Source organism: Homo sapiens, chromosome 12 (genome assembly GCF_000001405.40).
Source record: "Homo sapiens chromosome 12, GRCh38.p14 Primary Assembly".
NCBI lineage: Eukaryota > Metazoa > Chordata > Mammalia > Primates > Hominidae > Homo > Homo sapiens.
The window spans coordinates 13,744,098-13,769,525 of record NC_000012.12 but is presented as its reverse complement, the minus strand read 5'-3'; the positions used below and the strand labels follow the sequence as shown (position 1 = coordinate 13,769,525).

The 25,428-nt window shown below is 41.7% G+C and overlaps 1 protein-coding gene across 5 annotated transcripts in view, besides 3 other annotated features; it reads left to right on the top strand.

Annotated features, from left to right (window-relative positions):
* GRIN2B (glutamate ionotropic receptor NMDA type subunit 2B) overlaps positions 1 to 25,428 on the top strand; it is a 444,798-nt gene that overhangs the window by 212,609 nt on the left and 206,761 nt on the right. For 3 of the 5 annotated variants that reach the window (NM_001413993.1, NM_001413994.1, NM_001413995.1), the window contains one exon: positions 15,611 to 17,069. In NM_001413993.1, the coding sequence (NP_001400922.1) occupies positions 15,611 to 16,213 (603 nt within the window). In that variant the 3' untranslated portion in view covers positions 16,214 to 17,069. Of the gene's footprint in view, positions 1 to 15,610; positions 17,070 to 25,428 lie in introns of those variants that run through there. The other 2 variants (NM_001413992.1, NM_000834.5) reach the window with 1 other exon arrangement.
* Positions 19,622 to 20,357: an enhancer, noted in NCBI's record as "OCT4-NANOG-H3K4me1 hESC enhancer chr12:13902103-13902838 (GRCh37/hg19 assembly coordinates)". NCBI's record gives its function as "activates a minimal SCP1, AML or CMV promoter by ChIP-STARR-seq in naive H9 embryonic stem cells {active_cell/tissue: H9 hESC(naive)}" and the evidence as "EXISTENCE:reporter gene assay evidence [ECO:0000049][PMID:30033119]".
* Positions 20,561 to 20,730: an enhancer, noted in NCBI's record as "experimental_26314 CRE fragment used in MPRA reporter constructs". NCBI's record gives its function as "activates a minimal promoter by MPRAs in K562 erythroleukemia cells, with activity observed for both the introgressed and non-introgressed 12:13901815 variant alleles {active_cell/tissue: K562}" and the evidence as "EXISTENCE:reporter gene assay evidence [ECO:0000049][PMID:34662402]".
* Positions 23,497 to 24,425: an enhancer, noted in NCBI's record as "OCT4-NANOG-H3K4me1 hESC enhancer chr12:13898035-13898963 (GRCh37/hg19 assembly coordinates)". NCBI's record gives its function as "activates a minimal SCP1, AML or CMV promoter by ChIP-STARR-seq in naive H9 embryonic stem cells {active_cell/tissue: H9 hESC(naive)}" and the evidence as "EXISTENCE:reporter gene assay evidence [ECO:0000049][PMID:30033119]".

Genomic DNA, 25,428 nt, shown 5'->3' with positions numbered 1-25,428 from the left:
GGCTGGATAGATGAAAGAACAGATGGAGAAATGCTGCAAATGTATACCCTTACAGCTCCAGAGACGTGCCTGGGAACTTGGGAGCATATGCACGAAACACTGAGTATGAATGTGGTGAGCTTGCCATCCATCTTGAGAACCGTGTGACAAAAAAAAGCCACACTTGAATGAATATTACAACCAGACAGGGGATGAAAACAGAATGGGAAATAAGAAAAGGGCCTTGAGGGGGTGGGAGGGTTCTTGTGTGAGTGACCTTGCATTACTGAGGGCACTCTGTCCCCTGTCTCAGGCCAGGGGACTAAACCTGACTCTCACCTTAGCTCTGCTGTGTTGCATTCTGAGCAAGGTAAACGTCATGGAGGCAGATGTTTGCCTCATGAAAATGGGAAGCTGTAGAATAAATTCCAAGAATGATACTGTAAAACAAGGAAATAGTAACTAGCGGTAGCCTTTATACCTGTTTATTTTATTTTATTTTATTTATTTTTTGAGACAGAGTCTTACTCTGTTGCCCAAGCTGGAGTGCAGTGGTGCGATCTCGGCTCACTGCAAGCTCCACCTCCCGGGTTCACACCATTCTCCTGCCTCAGTCTCCTGAGTAGCTGGGGCTACCGGCGCCTGCCACCAAGCCAGGCTAATTTTTTGTATTTTTAGTAGAGACGGTGTTTCACCGTGTTAGCCAAGATGGTCTCAATCTCCTGACTTCATGATCCTCCCGCCTTGGCCTCCCAAAGTGCTGGGATTACAGGCGTGAGCCACCGTGCCGGCCACCTGCTTATTTTTAATTAGGCTCTTTTAATTAGCAGGAGCAAAGACTAACTAAGTTGTTGCACAACAACCAACAAAATAAAAACAAAATACCAGGCAATTTACTACGAGGATATTTGTGCCTAGAGTTGGAAAGCCGAGAGGAACTAAGACCACTCCCCAGCTGGCTCCCTACTGGGTCTTCCTCAAGGACATATGGTCTGTATTTTGAAGATCTTGGGTTCTTTGCTTTCCACTTGCATCTGAGCCACTTCCTTCTCTACTGCAGGCATCCCCTGCTATCCCATAGCTTCTGCTTCCTCATTACTTCACAGTGCCCATGACCTTGGTTGTCAGGGCCCTTACTCTGTTTCATGTTATAGGTGAAAGACTTGCCATTCTTTCAAGTTTTTTTGGTTCAGACTCCTGAGAGAGACAGAGGATCTGATGGTTCTGGCTCATTTTTCTAGCCAGGCCCAGACTGCAGGCACTGGGCAGCTGCAAGATGGTCTGCTTCGGCCAGGTACCCACCTCTGATTAACAATACTTAATGTGCAAAGAAAAGCTGAAGCTGTGAACCAGGGCAGGTAGTCTAAAAGGAAAATTGGGCATGATGGATATGATGAGTTGACATATCAAAGAAGGAAGCTTAACTAATTCTGACTCTAGAAGGCATTCACTGAGCAAAGTGAAAATCCTCTTTTAGTGCATATTTAATAAATAAGGACAATTAGGTAGCTGAAGAGTTTTATTGTGGTGAAACTTTGCCTTTCTGTGAAGGAACAGAGAGGGGAATCTGAGGTTATTCTCCCTTACATTAGGAAAGGATTAAGAAGTTGAGAGAATTAAGGAGAGACAAACTTACCCTTCGTCACCGAAGATTTCAATATTAATAACTTACTGTAACTAGGTTACTAATACTATGGAGTTTCTTGATGAGAGGTCTTTTGGGGACTCTTATGAAAATTTTGATAACCTGTGCACCTTCATGGAACTCAAAAATATGAACAAAAGAGGACATTTTCCTACAAACCAAGATATCTTTCATCTGTGTGAAACTAACTTGCAAACTTAACCCATGATCTGGTAACTCTGTTGGTAAATTGTTACATAGATAACCAAAATAAGCATCAACATACAGACAAAAACATTGTGCCTTACTCTATTTGCACCTGGAAGTACCTCTAGCTCAGATCATATGCTGTTTTTTGGCAAAAGTTGAGAAACTATGTTGCTGTTTATAGTGTTAATACACATGGGCGCCATTGCTAGTGTATATCCACTTAATGTCATCATGCCAAGAATAAAAGCAGCCTTTAAAATATACTCTTGATTCATCAGTAAGAAAATTAGAAAAAAAATTACATTTCTTTAACAGACATGGAGGCAGTTTTGAGAACTGATAGCATTTAGGTAGTCATCTACGTCTTTTTAAATGAATGGAGCACAGGGACTAGTCAGTTGAACTGGAGAAGGAAAATTTGGCATTAGAATACTTTTTTTTTTTTTTTTTTTTTGAGACAGAGTCTGTACTTTCGCACAGGCTGGGGTGCAGTGGTGCGATCTCCGCTCACTGCAAGCTCCGCCTCCCGGCCTCACGCCATTCTCCTGCCTCAGCCTCCAGAGTAGCTGGTACTACAGGCGCCCGCCACCACGCCCGGCTAATTTTTTTTTGTATTTTTTAGTAGAGACGGGGTTTCACGGTGTTAGCCACGATGGTCTTGTTCTCCTGACCTCGTGATCCACCCGCCTCGGCCTCCCAAAGTGTTGGGATTACAGGCGTGAGCCACCGTGCCCGGCCAACATTAGGCTACTTGTGTGAGTTGCTTGGATTTAAATTTGAAAGCCCACATCATCTCTACGGTAGGAACGCTGAAATCATGATTGATTTCCTGACCAGTGTGTATAATTATTAAAACTGTCGGAAGGCTAGAGGAAAAAGGCCAGTGTAAAGAAATCAAATACACTGAGAGAAGAGAAGAGATGAGGAATTATCATTCCCCCAGCTTTTCTGAAGAATAAAAATCTTAACAAAATCAATTTGCAATCATTTGAAGAGAAAAAGGTTTTTTAACTGGGTAGCCTGACTTCATAAAGGACAAGTCCTGTCATATTAATCTAATCTTCTGAGATGAAAATGAAAGGCTGGGTAGATCATGGAAAAAGATATGTATAATTCATTTAGACTGTAGCTGTGATTTGGACGTGATACTCTATGGTATGCCCATTAGCTGAGACTCGATATCAGAGGCTCATTGTCCACCTGAGGACAAATACAAGGAACAGTTCAAGGCCCAGTGTTTCTTATGTTTCTTTTCACAGTCTGGCATTTGGATTGAAATGCACATGGATGTTTACTTTGCTCACTGCACAAAACTAGTGGGAGAACTGGGAAAGAGAGGGATAAGTAGAAAGAAGCTTGAAAAACAGAGTTGTCCAGACATAGTGCCCTCTCTTCTCACCATTCTTAGGATACTTATATTCTAAACTTCATGATGGCATTTAAGGAACATCGTCAATAATTTCATATATTTTTATCTTCCAATTAGCTTGCCTGAGGTTGATGATGGTTTATACTTCATTTCTACTTCCTACAGCACCTGATAAGCATTTAATAAATATGTGATTGATTAGCAAACAATAATGTTACAAAGAATCAGTTGTATGCATGTCCAGTAGAAGAACACTGCAGAGTAATAATGTGTACCGAGTCCATCACTAGTTAGCAGTGCCAGTGGATAGATGCATGGGATTGAAGCTTAAGGAATTAATGAAAATAATCTCTGTAATATACTAGGCAGAGGTTAGACTTTTACTAGACTACTGTAATCACTCTGTGCTTCCTAAAGAAACAAGGATGTATAGACAGTTCAGATGAGAGCTACAGAGATGAATAAAAGAAACTTGAGAACGTGTGCTGCAGTGGTTGGTGGGTGCACCCTGAGCCAGATCTACACAGGTTCTCTTTCCAGCGGTTACCCTGGGCAAGACCCTTCATGTCTCTGAAGCTCACTTTCTCTGTTGGTAAAATGGAGAAAATATCAGGGCCTGCTGCAATGGAATATGAAAATATATTCACATACTGCATGGACAGCATGGAGCCTGCTATAAGCACTCAATGAATATTGTCATAAGAACTATAAGAAATGAATTAGAAAGGGAGATTGTTTAGGCTCAGGAAGAAAAGGCTGAGAGTGGGCTTAGTAATAATCTTTACATACAAGGTAATGACAAACCATCATCCATCTTGACATCAGTTTTGTTCATACTGACAATATTCTTGAGGGCTTATCATGTGCCTTCCACCAAGGAGAGCATGAGACCCAAAGAGCTTAATCTGCAGCACGATGGACGTAAGGCAGACAAAGAGATGAATTTCTGAAAGTCAGGTTTCTGGACTCACCGGCTTAGGTAACTGAAGAAAATTGTGGACTTTTCTTTGAAGACTTGTAAAATAATCTAGTTTCACCTCATGTTCTACAAAACCGGTTTAGTTGTGGTCCTACTATGAGCTGGACTAATGTGTTCTCAGGGTACTCTGGTTAGTGTCTGTTCTTTGAGATCTTGGGCTGGCATTTAACAGAGAGTTTCATCTGTGCTTATAAAAGATGAGCAGATTGGCACTTTTAGGCAGTACCGAATTAACATCAAAATGTCATTGCTGAGCCATAAGGTTGCCCCCATTTTGTTTTGTTAGCATGGATCAGAATTCACAGTTGGCCGATGTGAGCCTGATAGCTTCAGGTGAGTTGATTTACTGCCAGTTCTAAAGATAACGAGACTGCATGTTGCACTCATACTTGTCTGGGATGATTCATTTATAGGCAGAGGCCCCATTGTGAAGGATTCAGATTAGCCATTAATAAGTACTAGTATCTGATTATAACAGTGACTGTGTACTCCAGAGTCTGACGAGGATGGGGGCAAGAATAAGCCCCGAGTTTCCTTCTGTTTGAAATAACAAATGACATTTTCTTTCAAGGACCTCTTTCTTGCTTGTCAACTTCCATCAGAGGAAAAGTATCCGGGTGAAATGCCATCAACAATAGAAATGTTGGAGACCACTGAATGTGGTTTGAAAGCAAACAAGTAAACAAATTTCAAAATAAAAATGAGTAAATAGACCATTCTTTTACTTGCCAAGTTCTTATTTCTAGGGAAGATTTTTTCTTATTTCCATCAACGTTGGCACCTTCCATGAGTGATTTCTGCTGCTTGTCCAGGCTTGGTCCATCTCCCAGAGTCAAGTTGAGATAGCAACAGCATTTCAGCTACCCAAGGTCCCACAGGGGAGGATGGCAACACTTTTTGGGCCAACGGTGTTAGCCGGTTAGAGCATTCCGTTGGGGTCTTTATCTGTGGAATTAGGACTGTGTAAAAATGGAGGCAAAGAAGGAAGAGGTCACAGCCTGGGCTGCAGTGCTGATTGCAGCAAGGAGGGACAAGATGGGCTCCAGGAATGTTGACAGGATTAGTACTGGTAAGTCAGAGGGGATGGGCTGGGCCAGAGAGAGTGTCTCTTGACTGTGTTGGCAACTGGATCCTTAGCATTCTGTACGTTCTAAACTAATATCCTTTTTTTTTTTTTTTTTGGTATGGATATAGAGAAGGATAGGCTCTTTTCTAGGACTGCGGACACAATTGTGTGGTTAGAAAAGTAGTTTTCGTGTGTTTCTCCCTGTATCAGGTTAGGAGCTGGGCATCCATCCTAGTGGATTGTATTGCACTCTCAATGAAACTTCACGTGTCTATTCCCAGGAAAGTTAGAGATCAAGAAAAGAAAATGAAGGTAAGCAGTTAGAACCTCAGAAGTCTTAAACATCCATTTTTAGTGCTAATAACCAGCAGCCATAAATGAGTAAAAGAAAAAGTTGAATAATTCTGGAAAAGGAGAGCAATTTTCAGTATAAAGAAAACAAAGAAAATCTCAAATAAACTTGGATGCAACCAATCAAACACTGAACACAATTTGTATTGCAGGCCAAGGTCTAGGGAGGGTCAGAAAGCTGGGAAAGATTGGACTTAACCCTGCCATGGGGTTGCCTGCCACAGGGTGGAGGTCAGCAAGCTCTGAGTCCCTATTTAAGAACAGATAACCCCCTTGGTGGGATTCAGGCTAGTGTGGGTGTGCAGGAGTTTGACAAAGTAATGGAAAAAGGCAACACAGATGTGTTGACACTAATAATGCCCTAATCATCTCGTATAGAACAGGAAACGGTAGATGTGTCAGACCCCAGCTGGCATCTGTAGGTACAGGAAGCCCAGCATCAAGGATTTAGGCAGCTTCTCATGGACCGTCCAATGTAGTTGGAGGCTCTGAATAAGGCTCCTCATCCACGGGAGACTGGAATAAAAATCAGAACATGAGGAAGTGATTTAGTCCTTTGGATTGAGTACGTGGGAGGCACACGAAAAGACAGGCTTCATCTGGGTGGCCATGTCTGAACCCAGCCAGGTTCACAATCAGTGCACCAATTCCTGGGTGTAAAGCAGCCCAGCCAGCTTTAGAAGATGGTGTCGGTGAGGACAGTACTTGGCCTATCCTGGTTTAAAGATCAGAAGGCAGTACTTGGTGACTAAAGTTCAAAGTCTTATAGTTGAATGAAGCTGGGACATGCAGGTGCTGACAAGTTGTTGGAAGATTTTTTTTTTTTTAATCTGTCTCTGTGCAATTTTATTTTCATTTCTGGAGCCCTTCAAAATGCATTGCCTCTTTTAGATGGAGGACCAAATTGGTTTGGGAGATGTGAATAAATTCAAAGCCTCTTTGATTGTGAACAGCCGTACTTTGCTATATGTGAGGAAGTAGTGATCAGTTTTCCAATCTAGAGACCTAGAAAAACACATCGCTGGATGTTTGGTGGAAAAAACAAAAAACAAAAAACCAAACAAAAAAAAAACTTTCTCAGAAAACTTCTTTCTGGATTTAGCCTTTGGAGACAATGGCTTGTTAATCTGTGGCCAAACAAGCATGACTGATCCACATTTTAAACTCAGCCATGCCTAGTCTCTCACTCCATATGGAGCTGGGACAGAAGGGCAAAGAGCCCTTTGTTTCCCAGGGATCCCTTGAAGAGGCCCATGTGTACAAGCAAGATCACTGTATCTAGAACCAGTGCTTGTGTTATTTTCAGCAACACATGAGGTACTAGCACTCATAGCTTAATCAAATATAAAATGCCTTTTCTACCCTTCCGCTTCTCTGCTCCCCTTGGTATATGAACGTGATGTTCTGATCAAATGTGTTTGAAGAGATGGGAATGTTAATTTATTTGAGACAAATGTCAACATCTTTACTCTGAAAAATGCCGCTAGTACGTCAAGTGCCATCACTGGCTTGCACTTAACTCTGCTCTTTAGTAATAATCACAGTTCTTTTGTAGATGCTGTCCTTTCGGCTTAAGTTAAATAAGATGATTTTGATGAGATAAGGCAATTTTGGATTTAGTATTTCATACCTAATAAGAAATGATGGCTGGGCGCGGTGGCTTATGCCTGTAATCTCAGCACTTTGGGAGGCCGAGGTGGGAGGATCACGAGGTCAGGAGATTGAGACCATCCTGGCTAACACGATGAAACCCCGTCTTTACTAAAAATACAAAAAATTAGCCGGTCGTGGTGGCGGGCGCCTGTAGTCCCAGCTACTCAGGAGGCTGAGGCAGGAGAATCACTTGAACCTGGGAGATGGAGGTTGCAGTGAGCCGAGATTGCACCACTGCACTCCAGCCTGGGTGACAGAGCTAGACTCCCTTCCAAAAAAAGAAAAAGATTCATCTTCCCTTTGGTTATTAGGTTTAGTTTTATGATGCCTGTCATTTTATTCTATAAATGCCCAGACCTATATTTGTGTTGACCACACTTGATTTTATTAAATTTAGTGTGATATTGATAACGCTACTACTTAATTAACACTTAGTTTAATATGTACACACCTTTTCTCTATTCATTTCATTTTTTTCCAACCTTTCCTATTTTCCTGCCTTCTTCCCTTGTGTTTATTTAAAAGTACATTTATTCAGTCACAGAACCTGATTGTTGCTGAACTTGTCAGCTTGCTCTTTTATAGAAAGGCACCTCTTAATAAAAATACAAGTCAGTCCATCTGAGAGTAGGTTTGATTGCTTTTAGGAAAGGAATTTTACTTTAAAATGAAATGAAAGAGTCTTGTTAAGATTTTAGTGGTCCCGATACCTTACAAAGGGGCACAAACACATTCTCAAAGTGCTCTTACTATCCTCCAGGACCTTTGCTCCCTTACTTCTGTAATTCGTTTAGGTATCTTAGTGATGGGGAATCTACCTGTTCCTTCTTCTCCTCTTATTACACTTCCTGTTGTTTTCTTCTGGCTATAAAGTTGTCTCTGTGACCTAGAATATCAAGAATCTTGTAGACATTCTCAAAGTGAATGAATACCTTTAGTTTGTTTCTCTACTGTGGTTTAAATTTGGCGATTAAAGCACATCCGAAGAGAGACTCAGTCAGGGAGGAAAATGGGGCCAAATTCAAGTAGAAAGGACAATTATCTTCTGAAAGAACAAATAATAAAAAGAATGCTGGCTTCTGCGGAAGTTGTTTAGTTATCCAGAGTGGCTCTTAAACTTGCCAGATCTGCTTGAATTTCTTTGAAAACTCAGAATGTTCTCCTTTGTGTGCAAGGGTTTAAAGAAAGAATGGGTCTGGCATTTAACAGGCAGGAAAGATCATGATTCTGTATCAATATGCTTCCATTGTGTGTTTCAGTCATGATATTTTTGATTAATGGTGAGGCTGGAGAACATCGGAAATTTTCCCTATCTTGCAAGACACTGTTCGCAAAACTCTGACACTATTCAAAGCCATGCTAAAGAACTAACTCCAGCCTTAGTCACCAGAAAAAAATGATGGTGTGGTATCAGAATTTCTACTCATCAAAGGAGATGATCATTTAGGATTTGGTGAGTAGAGGAAAGTATTTCCCCTTATTTTGGGAGGAGAAAGAGATTTTTTGTCTCCCATATTCTGCTTCTACTCTGTGCTAAATGTGGAAGGAGTGAAGATGGAGTACTCAGAACTTCTCAGGACAGCTGGGTAACCCTGGCCTCTTAGCCCATCATTTCTACATTTGCCTTCCTTAATCTGATGGAGAAAGTCTCAGGGAAAGCCTACCAGTTCCAGAGTTTTTCAGACACAGATTGTCCTCAAGAACTGAATTTAGAAGAAAAGAAGGAGAATTTTCTTTATTAATATAATAGGAAAGAGAGTAGAGGGAAACCAGATTGATTTAATCTGAAACTATACTAGTGTACTAACAGGATTATATTCCCTATGATATTATACAGTACTAAGATTTGAATAATGTGAAAGACTTTAAGATGCTGGAAAAATATAATCACAGTTGGATAGCCAACAAAGATAGGTTAGATTTGAGAGCATCTGGTTGCAGCATCCATGACCCCATTTAAAAAATTCAAATATTTACTGAGAGCACCCTATGGGCCAGACCTCAATTCCATAATTGTGGGTTATAGCAATGAACAAACACATGCCGATCCCTGCCCTCCTGGTGCTCACATTTAATTGGGAAGAGGCAGGTGAGTTCATAATAAACATGTCAAATAAGTAATCATGTAGTCCATCTGATGGTGAGAGATGCTATGGGAAAAAGAAAAAGCAAAGCTGGACAAGGGGATCAGATATGCCTATGAAAAGTGAGGACAGGCTTCAGCATTCCGTGTTGTGGTCAGGATTGAGAGCACTTTGTTGGGAAGGCAAGATTTTAGCAAAGACGTGGAAGAGGTGCATGTGTGATACCTGGGTAGCTGGAGAAAAAGTGTTTCAGGCAGGGGAAATAGCTACAGCAAAGGCCTGGTGCAAGAATGTGTGAGTGTGTTCAATACAGATCAGAGTGCATGGAGCAGAGTGAGGGCCTGGGACCCAAGGGCCAATATGGGATCAAAATCAAGGGTGCTGGCTGTTTCTTTGTAGTACACTGGGGAGTCTTTTAGGGCTTGGGGTATAGAATAACATCTTAAGTTTACAAAAGATCATCCTTCTTTGTTGAGCATTAGACTAGGGGGTTAAGACAGAGCCAGTGGTACCATTGAGCATGCTCTTGCAGGGATTGGATGAAGAACATCAAATGTTGCTGGTAGATAAGGAGGACTGCAAGTGGACATTGGCGTTGTCAATATCAAAGTCACCTGCCTTTTACAAGAGGGGTTTCAGTGAAGTGGTGGTGTTGAAAGTCTAATTGGATTCAGTTTATGAGAATGGGAGAAGAGGAATTAGGAGAATTGAGTATAGATGATGCTTTTAAGGAGTTTGCTACAAAGGGATGTAAATAAGTGACTATAGCATTTTCTGCCACTCTGGCTGGCTACAACAGGGATCCCCTCACATTTTGTAAAAGCACAGTTTATGTATAACTTTTTAGGCATGCCTTATTTCTGTGAGGTAGATATGTGCCATCAGCATAAAAATTTGAAACTAGCTGGGCGTGGTGGCTCATGCCTGTAATCGCAGCACTTTGGGAGGCTGAGGTGGGCGGGTCACCATGTCAGGAGATGGAGACCATCCTGGCCAACATGATGAAACCCCATCTCTACTAAAAATACAAAAAAAATTAGCTGGGTGTGGTGGTGCGCATCTGTAGTCCCAGCTACTCGGGAGGCTGAGGCATGAGAATTGCTTGAACCTGAGAGGCAGAGGTTACAGTGAGCCAAGATCATGCCACTGCCCTCCAGCCTGGCAACAGAGTGAGACTTCGTCTCAAAAAAAAAAAAAAAAAAAAAAAAAAAATTGAACTAGATGAGATCATCAAATTCATTTCAGTTACTCTCCCACCCAGTAAATAAAACGTCTACAATATTAATACAATGAACACTAGAAAAATGTTTCATGTGTCAGCTAGGGATCTAGAGATGAACAAGGTATAGTTTATCCTCTTGAGAAACATTTTTAGTCAGATAAGGCAAGTATGCATGTTTACTGTGTAAGTATGATGACGGAGGCATGCACAAGATGTGATAAAAGCAAAGGGGAGATAGAAGTAAGTTGACCAGGGAAAGTTAGAAAAGATAACATACCTAAAAGACCTGACATTTGAATTGGGTCTTAAGGATAATCATAAAATTTTCCAGCCCATGTACTGGCAAAAATCCCTCTGTTAGATAATAATCCAGCTCTTGTTTGAATGCTTACAGTGACAGAGAGCTCACTACCTTAGGAGACCCATTCCATTTTAAGAACCTATAATTTTTGCAAATGCATTTCTTATATTGAGCCCAATAATGCCTTTTAATATTTCTACTCATTGTTCCCAGTTCTCTTCTCCTCTGAATTTAATGAGCCAAGATTTGTCTTTCTACCAAATAAGTCATTTCAGTATTTGAAAATAGATATGTTCTCTTTGAAGCAATTTCTTTTTGGTGTTGAAAAGGGGGAAATGGGTAGAGTCAGGTTCCCAGGGAAGCAGACTCTGAGCCTGAGGTTAGTGTGCAGGGGGTTTATTAGGGGGTGCTTTTGAGATCAGCACCATGAGTGGGAAGGGAAGATTGGACAAGGCTGGACAGGAGAAGTGCAGGTGTGATGCAGTTTTAATGGAAGCTTCAGAAATCCTGTGGGGGAATTCTGAAGATAAACTGACCCTTTGGAGTTGTCTAGAGTTAGGGCAAGAAGATTAGGTCTTTACACCTGTAACAGCCAGTCATTCAGTCCCATTTACCCCAGGAAACGGATATGGCTTTGGGGAAGTGGGCTTTTTTAGCTGAGGCAGTCCCCAAGGGTGTTGAGTGGAAGCCCTATTGCCAGGGGCACTACCAGCCGCTGGGGCACTTAATCCTTTATTTATGAAGTGGATCCATAAGGGATCTGGATGATGCAGAAGAGGAATCTTAGGTACTGCTAATTTTTTAGGCAATTATTTTCTGAGGCAGATAATAAGATGAAAAAGCACCTCTTTTTTTTTATTCTTATTAGCAAATAAACACCACAAACATCAAAATGATGGGGGCCCCACATTATGGTTCTAGACTGTTAGGGTCTAGTGTACAATTCTACCTTCCCTGTGCTGCTTATTCATCTCTGTTAGGATGGCCCTTTATATAGGAATATGTTAAAGATGCTCTTGAGGTGAGTTGAAGAAGGACATTCAGGTAATAAATTTGACTGGGATTCTTCACTAGGAGGAGACTGCTCCAAGGACCCCTGCATGTCAACATTTTGTAATGACATTAGGAGATAAAAATGTAAGTGGGGAAGCATAGTGAGCTACAAACAGAATTATATCTCTGTCCTTCATCCTCGATAACTTGCGGTAATCACAGTGCATGCTGGGTGCCTGCAAAGATGGATGTGTGGCCACCAGTCCTTTCTACTCGATGCACACATGAAGATTTCCCTTTTATTTGTGGCTATGGCCATAATTTGCAAAGCCTGTCACCATTTGCAACTTACAGCTAGACTAGAGCTTTACTGAAAAAGAGCTGTCCCATTCCTGATCACTGTATACCATATTGATGTGTCAACTAAATGAATAATAACTGGACTACTCATTATACCAGGAAACATTGGCCCAAGCTATTATTCTGTTTCTTGACTTCTGTTTGGCTTCATTAGCCTCCTTTGGGTGCCAGATAAAATGGTCATATAAAGCATCCTTATTTAATAAGGGCTTGGCAAAATAAAATGGTTGAGCTGGGCATCAATCGGAGCAGAGGAATCAGGAAAAGGATCAGATTGTGGAGGACAGTAGAACTAGAAGGTACGGTAAGGATGTAGTTGGGGATGATGGAGCCATATCAATTTTTCTCATTTCTCACTCTCATTATGCATTGGCTTCCTTCACACAGTAGCTAGCAGTGTCTTTACAAGCTACTTGCAACTGGGGGAGAGAGAGTATTAAGAGAAGCCTAACAGAGGGGAGGGCCAAGTTGGTATTTAATAGATTGGTTTTCTTCTAAATTCAATCTAATTAACAAAGCCCATTTACTATGGACCCCCGTGGCTTTTGTACCTCTTGCTATGTATTTCAGCCAGCTGTGGTTTCATAGCACATGAACTTTGCATCTATTCAAGAGCCTTCTTGTGATAAGATCTGTTCATTTATCACAGAATAGGTAGACCTGCTTTGTTTGCCACTGGGATCCCTTTCATCCCAAGCTTGTACATCTTAAAGCATATTGGAAAGTTTCTTCACTTTGCTATAACCACTGGGCTTGTGGAAGCTCATGTGATAATATTTCTCATTTCGGAATCCCCCAGTTTTTCTTTAGCTGGAAGCATGACAGGAAAAACAAATGGGTGTCTCTTTAAAGTGACAGCTATTCTAGGGGTGTCACCTTGCCACTGGCCTTCCTTTCCTGTCGTCGTCCTCTGTAGGCCACTGACAATTCTTGGAATAAAATTGTATTGCCCCAGATTCCCACTTGTCTCAGTCCTTTCAGGCTACTTATAAACTGAGTAACTTATAAAGAACAGAAATTTGGATGGGCGCAGTAGCTCACGCCTGTAATCCCAGCACTTTGGGAGGCTGAGGCAGGTGGATCATGAAGTTAGGAGTTCAAGACCAGCCTGGCCAAGATGGTGAAACCCCTTCTCTACTAAAAATACAAAAATTAGCCTGGCATGGTGGTGGGCGCCTGTAATCCCAGCTACTCGGGAGGCTGAGGCAGAGAGTGCTTGAACCCGGGAGGTGGAGGTTGCAGTGAGCTGAGATTGTGCCACTGCACTCTAGCCTGGGTGACAGAGTGAGACTCTGGGGGGATAAAAAAGAACAGAAACTTATTTCTCACTTTTCTGGAGTCTGGGAAGTTCAAGATCAAGGTGCCAGTAGATTTGGTGCTTGGTGAGGGCTCATGCCCTGACTCATAGAGAGCATCTTCTTGCTCTGTCCTCACAGGGTGGAAGGAGCAAGGTAGCTCTCTGGGGCTTCTTTAATAAGGGCACTAATTTGATTTATGAGGGCCTCACTCATCTCTTGATACCATCAGATACCATCACCTTGGGAGTTAGGATTTCAACGTATGAATTTGAGGAGGATGCAAACATTCCGACCAAAGTCCCACTGTGTTATTTAACCTAACGACAAGGTCAGCTTTGCCTAAGAGTTGTACTCATGTAGTAGGAGAAGTCTAGGATCAGGGACTGGCCAGGGTTTGGAATAGATACACATGATATAATTATTCTATTGTGAATTCATTCCCTTTTTTCTACTCACCTATTCTTGGTGCCTCACCCTCCCTGCTTTCCTGAATTACATGATCCTATGAAGCTCCTCTTCAACTGTATCTTTAAGTCCAGAGAAGAGAGTGCTGGTGAGCACCATTTCACCCTTACCAGGAAAAATTACTCCTATATGACCAAACATCCAGGGTTTCATTCTGGGTAGCCTGTGGAAAATGTGAAAAGTTCAAGCTGTGAGAACAAATAGCCCAGGCAGAGCCAGGGGCTGGCAGCTCTCATTGCCGAATCAGGATTTTTGGATACCAGCTGGATATTTCCCAACCTGTATTTTTTTCAATAAGGGGTGCTGAAGAAATGCTCAGCAATTTCTCAGCTGCACAACAATATGTTCCTGAACTAAGAAACCACTATGTAATTTTGTTTAAAAGCCCAGGTCTCTTGTAACTGTACTTTGAAGCTCTCATTGGAGGATAAGAAGGAACTGCCCCTTAGAAAAGACACAGTTTTGTTAGCCTGGATTGCTATAAAATGGAGATGAGCCAATGGGATAGAAGATAAGGGGCACAGAGCAAGAAAAGACATACCATTACCCAGGAGGAAATCAGGGGAAATAGGAGGACAAGACTGAGAGGGTGTTCATTTTGTGTTTTCGGACTCATCTAGCTAAAGGTAGAGAGAAAATGCAGGACTTGATATCTCAGAACAGCAGGTGAAACACAGCTTAAAATGGGAGACATTTAAAATGGCTTCTCCCTGGAAAGGAAGGAGAAATCAGAAGACGCTCAAAATTGACACGGGAGGGTGTGTGCAATGCCCAGGTCAAACCAAGACCTGTGGTGTCCTGTAGGTCAGAGAAAGAGCATATCTTCTATATGTCTGAAGTAAAGCTTAATCAGATATGAGTTCAAATGGCAATAATTTTAACTTGCAGCTTAGACATACTGTTTGAGCCTTATTCTGTTCTGCATATATTATTATCAGAGTAGAAGTTAGAGAGCAAACTAAATGTGATATTAATTTAACATTTATATGTTTATAGAACACATAGTGATCCAATTTCATACTACGTATACTTCTCCCTGATATCTGTATCTGAGTACCATTCACCTTCTGGACCACTGAGCTTATCTCACCTCCGTAGATAGGTTTATGTGTAGCTCAATGACATTTTTGGATTATGCACTCTGTGACTGAGTGATACACTTTCACAAGCAAGAAATCCAAAAGCCTTGAAAAATGGAAAGTATGTATGTGTGTGTATGTCTGTGTGGGCATGTGCATTTGTGTTTGTATAGCTCATTTGACAACAAAACCTGACCTGAACTGACATGAGGCCGTTTAGAGCCTTTATTCTACACTATGTGACTCTTCATATGTTTTGCTTTAGAAATATTAACATATTTGATTTTAGGGAGCTTCCCTAGGCTCTGGCAGAAACCCCAAGGATTTCAGACAAGGCAAGTATAGACATAGGTTGATTTTCTGTAAAGTCTAGGAGACAATTTTAGGAAGAAAAGTATTACAAATATCTGCAATTTAAATATTTAAAAATATTTATTGTAAATACAAACTTGTAAAGGCATTATATAAAAATAAGTAATGAACACAAATCTTTGTACCCACTTGGTTCAAAATCTCCATTACCATCTTTGGTTTGATTTTTTTCTCTCTTCCTTTTTTTGTCCTGTTCTTTTTCTAGGATGAATCCTCCATGTTCTTCCAGTTTGGCCCATCAATTGAACAGCAAGCTTCCGTAATGCTCAACATCATGGAAGAATATGACTGGTACATCTTTTCTATCGTCACCACCTATTTCCCTGGCTACCAGGACTTTGTAAACAAGATCCGCAGCACCATTGAGAATAGCTTTGTGGGCTGGGAGCTAGAGGAGGTCCTCCTACTGGACATGTCCCTGGACGATGGAGATTCTAAGATCCAGAATCAGCTCAAGAAACTTCAAAGCCCCATCATTCTTCTTTACTGTACCAAGGAAGAAGCCACCTACATCTTTGAAGTGGCCAACTCAGTAGGGCTGACTGGCTATGGCTACACGTGGATCGTGCCCAGTCTGGTGGCAGGGGATACAGACACAGTGCCTGCGGAGTTCCCCACTGGGCTCATCTCTGTATCATATGATGAATGGGACTATGGCCTCCCCGCCAGAGTGAGAGATGGAATTGCCATAATCACCACTGCTGCTTCTGACATGCTGTCTGAGCACAGCTTCATCCCTGAGCCCAAAAGCAGTTGTTACAACACCCACGAGAAGAGAATCTACCAGTCCAATATGCTAAATAGGTGAGTGTGGAACAGAGGGCACATTGATGGTGGAGATGAGAGGGGAGCTTCAAAGACTGGGGTTGGAAGTTCAGAAACTGCAGGAAGAACAGTTCAAGACGGTAGCAGGTTGAAGCCTGGCCTTGGGCATGGCAATTGGTCATGATTGGGGGAGTGTTTTGGATCCAACCTTGCCAAAACAACTTTCATTTATTGAGCACTTATTATGTGTTAGATGTTACTCTAAGGGTTTTGCATGTTTGGTTTCATTTGATCCTCAAAATAACTCTATAAGTCAGGTTTTAACAATTGTTTCTATTTTACAATACGAAAGAATAGGCTTGGAGGTGTAAATTATACAATGTCATGTTGCAAGTGAGTGGTCAGTTTGGAGTTGAACCTAGGCCTCTCTGATCTGTAAGTACTACTTGATCGCAAAGAAAGATGCAGGAGACTTAGAAATAAGGGAGGACCAGTCCGCTTACCTTTGGAATGTTGCCGTATTGTAGTAAGATTGAAGAACAGGTTATGCGGATCTGTAGTCGTATGAAGGATATTCTTTCTTTAAAGAAACAGGCTTGGTTTTTGTCTCTTCCTCCTCCAGCCTCTGCCTTTAAGGGTGAGGATGCTGCTATAGAGGTGGCTTTTACAGTTACTCTTAGTCTGGTTTGTTTGGCAAGCCCTCATCTTGCATAACCCAGCCGTGACTGCAGTGCATCCTCCGTGGGGTATTAAATGACTCTGTGGGGTAGAAGATTCTATACTATACTTTCGTGGTTTTATTATTTGTATAAAACTTCTATGTAAGTACATTATAAAAATTCAAACTAAATAGAACATAAAGAAGTGTGTTTTAGAAATAAAAGTGATCTTAAATCCAACTAATTGGAGATAATCATTGTAGAAATAATTCGTGAACATCTTTCTAGATATCTCTCTATGCATGTACATTTATATGGACATAAATACACAATGTTACATATATGGAAATATAAGTATACTTGCTGTTCAATAGCTTGATTTCTTTCATTCAACAATGTGTTGGACATCCCTTTGAAATTATTTTTAATTGTATTAAGATGTACAGAAAGGTATTCAGAAAAACTTAATGCATACTCAGGTACTCACTATCTAGCTTAATAAATAAAATATTAAAAGGTGTACTTGGGATGTTAAAAAACATATAGTGGAGGTTGAGTGGGTAACTTCTAGCAGGGAGCTGGACTGCAGTCTGTAGAGTACAGCTTCAATTCAGGGTTGAAACTCAAACCAGGTTCACAGTAGTTATATCTGTGATCCAATCTTGATATTCTTCCACCATCAACTCTCTAGAGGTTCCTCTTTCCATCATCCCTAGGTATTGCCCCTTGCTTGGCACAGATTGTCTTGGTTTTTCTTCTACCTCTCTGGTTTCCTTCTATTCCAGTTCCATCTGGGGCTCCTTAGCACACTCCTGTTTTATGCATCCCTTAAATATGGGCACTTCTTGGGGTTCTAGACCCTCTTCCTTTCTCATCCATTCCCAAGGATACAATTAATGTCTGTATATTTTCCAAAGTGACATCTCTGGTTGCAACCTCTCCCTTGAGCTCTAAATTTGTATTCTTAGCTGTGGCCAGATATGTTTCTTTGGATTCCATGGGCACTTCGAACTCACAGTATCCAAAGCTCAACTTCTATCTCTTCTCCCACTAGTCTCCCACCCTCTCCTAGCCAAATCTGCACTGCCTGTCAATGATGTATTCTATTACAAAGTTACCTAAAATAAAAATTTCCTAGATGCCCTTGGTTCCACATCCCTGACACCTCATAGTCAATCGTACTGTTTGCCCCGGATTTTAGTCTCCCCATACCTCTGGAATGCCGTTCTTGTTTTCATCTCTCCTACAACATCCCAGTCCATTTTTTCTCACATGCATTACTACAGGGCTTCTTACATGATCTTCCTCCTCCAAGTTCTGCTGCTTTTCAATTTACATTGCAGCCAGGGTGATCAAAATTAAAAATGTGATTTCATCATTCTCTTGCTTAATACCTTTCAGAGGCTTTTCATTGCTCCTTTAATGAGGTCCATTCTCCTTAATATGGTTTATAAAGACTTCAGCCTCATGGGCCCTGCCTGTCTTTCCAAAATTCTCTCATGCTTTTCTCTGCCTTGCACGCTACCTTCCTGCAACACTGAGCTTAGTTCTTCAAAAACACCATGCTCTCTCTTGCTTCCAGCTCTTTCCTCTCTCTGTCTTAAACTTACTCTCCAGCGTGCCCCTTCCCACCAAACACAGGTGCTGATGTTCCCTTACCTGCCTCATGCTCTTCATTTGTCAGATTCCTCAGGCTTCAGTCTTGGCATTACTTCTGCTGGGAAGTCTTTCCTGAGCTTCAGAATAAGATTACTGTATTATTTGCCTTCACTACATCTTGTACTTTTCAGATAAAGCCACTCTTCAAACTGTGGCAATTGCATGCTGTATTATCTCCCTTCCCTGTGAGCTCTGTGAGAGTAGTGACCCTCCCATAGCACTCATTTCTCTGACCCCATTTCCTGCACAGTGCATGGCACACGGAAGTGAATGACGCCCTCCAAGACTCAGTGCACACCTGCTCTGCAGGAGCCTTCCCGTTCTGCTCTGTTCTTGCAAGATAATAAAGATTCCCTTGAAAAATGTACTGTTGATTCAGTTCTGTAGCTTTGGTTTTCCTCCCACTGCTTTTCGTGTTAAATTCAAATCTGATTCAGATTATTTTCCCAAATGTTTGCTAATTACAACCAAAGCTAACAGTGAAGGACTACTGAGACTAAAACATCTGCCCAACAACACGAAGAAATCAAGTGAATGTTACCTTAAAGCTCATAAATATGGCCCAGGAATGCCTACTTTTAACTTAAAACTTCTGCTGGGTAAACAATGATCTGCAGATATTATTATTTCCTGCTTGGCTTATGTTACATTACAATGTAAATGTCATCTCTGAAGCCTGGTTTCTAACCACATATCTCTGAAATCGCAATTGGTTTTAACCTTTGTTGCCATCTCTCTGAGGCCTGAGATGCTCCCGTGTGGCCACCCAGGAAGGTGGCCCTACTCAGTCCTAGAGGCCCACATCCGTCTTTTCCAGTGTAGCAGTCCTACAGGGAATAAGGATTATTATTCATCAATTCCTCAGGCACCAGTGTAGAGCAGAGAGACTGAGAGAGAGAGGGAGTCCAGCTTCACTTGATTTCCCAAATGTACGGCTTAAGAAGTGTCTTCAGATTTACCTACCTACTTCTCCACTAAAGCATTTCCTCTGCAAACTGCCCCAGTTCCCTGCCTTTACTTGGGTTCTGCACCTGCCTGCCCGCTGGACATCTCTTGGATGTCTCCCTTGTCCATACACCTCCATTCTTCCCTTATCTCCATTGTCTTTCTTTTCCTTCCTCTCCATCCAAATACATCTTCTTCTGGTTCTTGAATGTAATCCCTGCCTGTCTTGAGAATATTTTAGTATAGTTTCCTATCAGGATCCAGAAAGGATTGGGGTTGACTAACAGGGTTTATAGAGTTAGCCCCAAGTCTGCAGTTTTATCACCAGGCACAGCACGCTCAAAAGCAGCAGTGGAATCAATTAGGCACATTCAGTTCAAGCTCCTCCTACTTACCCTGCTCTGAAATCAGACTCTCCACCCCTTCAGAGCTCTGGTCTCACTAGGGTCACTCTTTTAAATAACAAACCAAGCAGCCACACCATTTAGCCACAGCAGGAAATCTTTGCAAATAAAATTGCTGCAAATGGCTGGTTGTTTTATAAGGATGACTTTTCCTTTGGCCTGCTATTCTCCTCTCAGCAACTGCAGTAGGGAGGAAGGCTCTCTGGGAGATTTCTGGGAGTGGCCCAGCCCCAGCATGACACTAGGGATGTAGGGTTAGGAAAGTGGCTTCTCCTCTCACCTTCTGAAAAGGCAGTAGCATTCATAGGCCCCTTTCCCTGCTAGAAGCATTGTAGGGGGAGGTACAGGTCTCATGCACACCTATCCAGATTACAGCTTTCTTTCCACGTGGGGAAAGTTCCTAAGTCTACACTTAGGGGATGGAGAGAAGAGGTTATATGATATACCTGAATCCCAAAGAGAGACATGTATTTGAAGTGATTCACTTGTTAGTTACCAAAGGAAGAATATATTTTTATGGCATAAAATCCTTCTCAGGGAGGATCCTTAAATGCACTATTTCAATTCACTATCAAATGAACATTACTTATCAGGTGTTAATCCAAATTCCTCACTGATAACTTCTTAACTCCTTGAAGCTTGGCCTGTTATAGACTTAGTGATTATCTCCAGATAGATTCTGGGTTGCCTGGAGGAGGCATTTTGCCAGGGTTGCAAGAAAAATACTTAAGCCAAGTTAAATTTGAATTTCAGATAAACAATGAATAATTTCGTTAGCACAAGTCAATACTAAATATTGCATGGGACATATTTATACCAAATGAATATTTGTTATTTATCTGAAATTCAGATTTCATGGGGCTCTTGTAGTTTTATTTGCTAAATCTGGCAACCCTACTTTGAATACATATAAAAATTAATTTTCTGTTGGAACTTCATAGCATTCATTTGTGCCTTATTAATAAATATAGTACAATGCCCTATACTATAGCCCAAGACATGCTAAGAGAGTTTTATTCCAACTGATAACTTTATTTGATTGAAAGGGCTGGAGAATTTCTTATGCTATATATTCTCTAAGGGAAGAATTTTCTTGGTTCCTGAGAAAAGTCTAAAAACGTTTTGGTACCAGATGATCTGAAAATGTTTAGAAAATGATTAGGTAAGTTTTCCAAACCCATCTTCATTCCCCTGAGCTGGGAAGAAATTGTGAGTTATTAGGAGGCACCCGTCTACATTTTTCATTTGTCATTTCTCCAAGGAGCAGTTAGTGGTTATTTTCCTTCTCCATGTACTCTGTAATCTCTGATGGTCTGTTTCTGTCACTCACGTGATGGTACACCTGCCACATACCTCTGTGCTCTCTTTCTGTCCTGAGAGCCCGCTGCTTCTCTTCATACAGAGCTACTTTTGGAACTTGTAGAAAGAACGGATGCTATTTGAGATAGATGGATCTTAATATAGCAAACCTCTTATGAATCTTGCCTAATTACTTTTCCCCAGTGTCTTTAGTTTTTCTACTCAACATTTGTTTCCTCCTTCCCTAAATTCTTCTTTCTTAGTGAAAGTTGCCATCTTAAAAGGCTGGATCGTCCTGGCCCAGCCTTTGAGGGATGGGGAAGAGTGACTTTGAATAACTGATGTGAAAAAAAGTACTTTCTTAGGTTCTTAATGAAAGAGCTGTGATAAGCTCAATCTTCCTACAACCTTGAGGCAAATTCCCCATCTTTGGAACCAATGTATGAGCCAGATTGTTCTCATGGGATCCTCATTTGACTCTTGGCCTGGAAAGTGCTGAAAGGTTAAAAAAATAAATGAGGAATTGAGTCAATTAGTTTTTAGGCATTATGGGCAAGAGCTGCTTGGTCATTACCCATCTTTTATTTGTTATTAAATGTTCGATGAGTGCCAGCACAGGCAGATTTATGGTAAGGCAAACGCATGTTATAGGTTCACTTCACTTAATCTAATTTACAGTGAAACAACCAAAAGGTTACATGAATGCATAGTAATAAGCGGTATAGCTGGCACAGTGGCTTTTCATCTTATTAAAGAAGTGCACCAGAGTCTAAGGAAAGCTACATTTTTATGTATATGCACAAAAATGCACATTTTAATGCAAAATGTTTAGTAAAATGACACACACCTGTATATAGAGGGAGGGAATGACTTTATCTGCTCAGTAGTGTAAAAGGATATATAAGTTGGGAAAAATAATCGAAGAACCTAATAACCTAAAAGATACATTCAATGCTTATTGTAGTTCAGGCATAACAATGCATGTGTTAGCTGTGTACAGAACAATCATTGAATGGGAGGACGATTCAAACTCTTCTGTTTTCCTCTAGTCTTTCACATTCCTCATATCAGACATATAGATGGTCATTTCAGTAAATGATTGTTGCTTCTTCTCCCTGAAGTCAAACTTGTGAAAGGCATTTTCAAGTATTTTTAACACTGAGACCCCCTACAGTATTCTTTCCTTAATCACTAATTCTGCGGCTGACTTCTAAGATTTAAAACTCACCCATAATATAGGTGGTGTTTCTCTTCTTTGTCTCTTTTTTGTTATTCTTCCTCTTTCTCCTCCCTTTTATTTTTCTCTTCGCCTTCCTCCTTTTTGCATTTCGATAAAGTTCAAAATGGATTCCTATAGTCCATTCTGCATTGCTCTAAAGGAATACTAAAGGCCGGGTAATTTATAAAGAAGTTTATTTGGCTCACAGTTTTGCAGGCTGTACAAGAGGCACGGTGCCAGCATCTGCTTCTGGTCAGGGCCTCAGGAAACTTCCACTCATGGTGGAAGGTGGAGGGGGGCCGGCATGTCACATGGTGAGAGAGAAAGCAGGAGAGTGAGGGGAGGAAGTGCCAGTCTCTTCAAATAACCAGCTCTCACATGAATTAATAGAGTGAGAACTCACTCATGACCATGGGCAGGGCATTAAGCCATTCATGAGAGATCCATGTCTGTGACACAAACACCTCCCACTGGCTCAATCTCCAGCATTGGGGTCACATTTCAACATGGGATTTGGGGGGGACAAACATCCAAACTGTATCACTCCTTTAAAAAATTAGTGTGATTTGGAGGAGAGGGCAGGGGATACAGAGGGTGAGTGAGTGGGGAAAGAGTTACATTTAACTGAGGACAGTGAGTGGGGTGGAGAATGCACATCTGTGCAGGGGAAGAAGATACAGACGGAATATGGTCTATGGGAAGGAATAGGATGGTCTTGAAGGCAGAAGCAAACCCGAGAAGGTTAATGGCTCTCAGTGGAGAAAGCAGACAAGCCTCATTCTGAAAACAGATTCTGCCTCAGAAAGGACGTGGGTTGGTGACAATGGCATGGGTTAAAAAGCGGGTCATAGGTATATATTTAAATCAGCCCCAGTTGTCAGCCAGGCTGCGAAAGTTATGAACTCCATCGTTAGTTGCCTTTTTGAGTACTTACTGCATCCCCAGCGCTGTGCAGTTACCTAATTTGATCCCTGCAAAAATCCTGATGCAAATGTCCTCGAGAGACATTCCCTGATCACTCTGTTTAAAAGGGCAACTTGTATTCCCCACCCTCCCAAGCACTCTCTGTCCCTTTCTCCTGCTTTATTTTTTGACATAGCACATATCTGATATACTGTATAAATTATATTTAAAAAATTTTTTTTGTCTCCCTCCTCCCAGCAGAATTCATGCTCAATGAGAGCAAGGTGTTTTTTTTAACCTTTGTATTCTCAGCACAGTGCCTGATAAGTAGGCAATTGATAAATATTTGTCAGATTAAAAAGCAGGAATGAAAAGACAGGAATCATTATTCTCATTTTATATGTTTTTAAGGAACCCGAGGCCCAGGGATCCCCAGCTCAGGCTGTGTGATGCCAGACTGACCTGATCTGCCTTAGGGGTCCTGGATTTCAGCCCCTCACTGTGCAGCACATTAAGGAAGCTTTAAAGAAAGCTCAGCTTTCCTTAGCATCAAAGCATTAGAGCTGGAAGAGTCTTTAGTGCTCATCTAATCCAACCCTTTCAATGCATGTCTTCTTAATGAATAGATGGTAGGATGGAATTTACATATGTGAAAACACAGTCTCAGAGCGGTCACTCCTCTGTTGGAGGCTGGGCAGGCACAGAAGCCAGGTGTCCTGATGGCAGGAGCGGTGCTCTTTGCTAGAGCATGCTACCTCTCCACTGCTTGGCCATGTCCTCAGAAGGGCAGGCTGGCAGGCAGCCAGGGCTTTGCTGTTAACCTTTGCCCTGGCCTGCCAGCGTCCCCAAGGCTCTTGCTCCCTTGGTTCTTACCTAGACAAGGATGCAAATTCACAGTTAATGGGAATTGAAGCTGGTATTATTTAGGAATTGAGTGGGAGTCGTTTCTCCATCTGCTCTCTCTTCCCACCAGAGGATAAAGGCTGCCTGGGTGGGGGTAAGGATGGGGATGAGTTGCCAGAAAGCTGGAGTGCTGTCATTTCTGGTTACAGACATGGACTGGAAGCCTGAGTGAGGGCTGGACCACAGCTGTGCAAGGTCAACTTAACTAACATGAGCTTCCCGAGAGCAGAGATGGTTGTGTGGCTTTTATATCTACATGAGATCTTGCACAATTTAAATAGATAATGGTTTGAGTCTTTCTCTTCGTTTCCTCTCAAATGGTGCTGTCAGGGATGCATAGGTGGTCATGTCCTGGAGAAAATTCTCCAGGATCTGATGTGGCCGATAAGGATTTGGAAGAAGCAGGGCATTTAGGATGACTACTGAGGGATCTGAACAGCACTGTAGATAGGGCACGGGAGAAGCCAAGGAAGATATGTGGCAGGAGCTAGCAAGAGAACCTTCCCTCGGCTTTCAGAAATTTTTGGTGGCGCGTCCTCTTCCGGGAGGACATGGTGGGGTTAGCTCGCCCAGACTGGCACCAGTCTCCAAGCTGAGCTGGCTGGTCACACATGAAGGAACTGCTGCTGACAGATTAGGGCTTCCCGCTGCTGAAATCTGTTCCCTCTTGTCCAGCTTCCAGCAGCAGCAGCCGGCCGGGGGCTGCCTACAGCTTCCCTCAATGCCCAGGCCTTTTCTTTCCCTCATTCATTACTGCTCCACACCCCACCCTCTTTCTTTCTTTATTCTTTTCTGTCTCTTTCTTTATTGGGTGTTTTGTTCATTGATCTTTTGCTGCCCCTCTCTTCTTTAGCCAGCTTTCATTTAAAGCTTTTAAAACCTTTCTTGCCTTTACCTTTCTATGTTCATAAATGACCGCCTGTGGAATTCTTGCACGCACACACTCATATTCATGTGTGCATGTATTCCTCATCCAGACAGCACCTATTTATGTATATTTGCATTTGTCAAGTGAAGAGAGAATTAAGAAAACTGGATAAAACACTTTTATATGTTACATTTCTCTAATGCTTTCTATTGCTGAGACTATTTAGATGATTACATGAGAAAGGTTGAATATGGGATAGAAGTTGGGAGGAATTCTTAAAAAATGGCTTGCCTGGAATTAGCTCTGATGAATATCAAGTAAATATTTCCTTCCAATCTGATTCCATTGTTAAAGTCTTGACGGCTGTAAGGATGGTCGCTAAATATCCCTAGCACATTT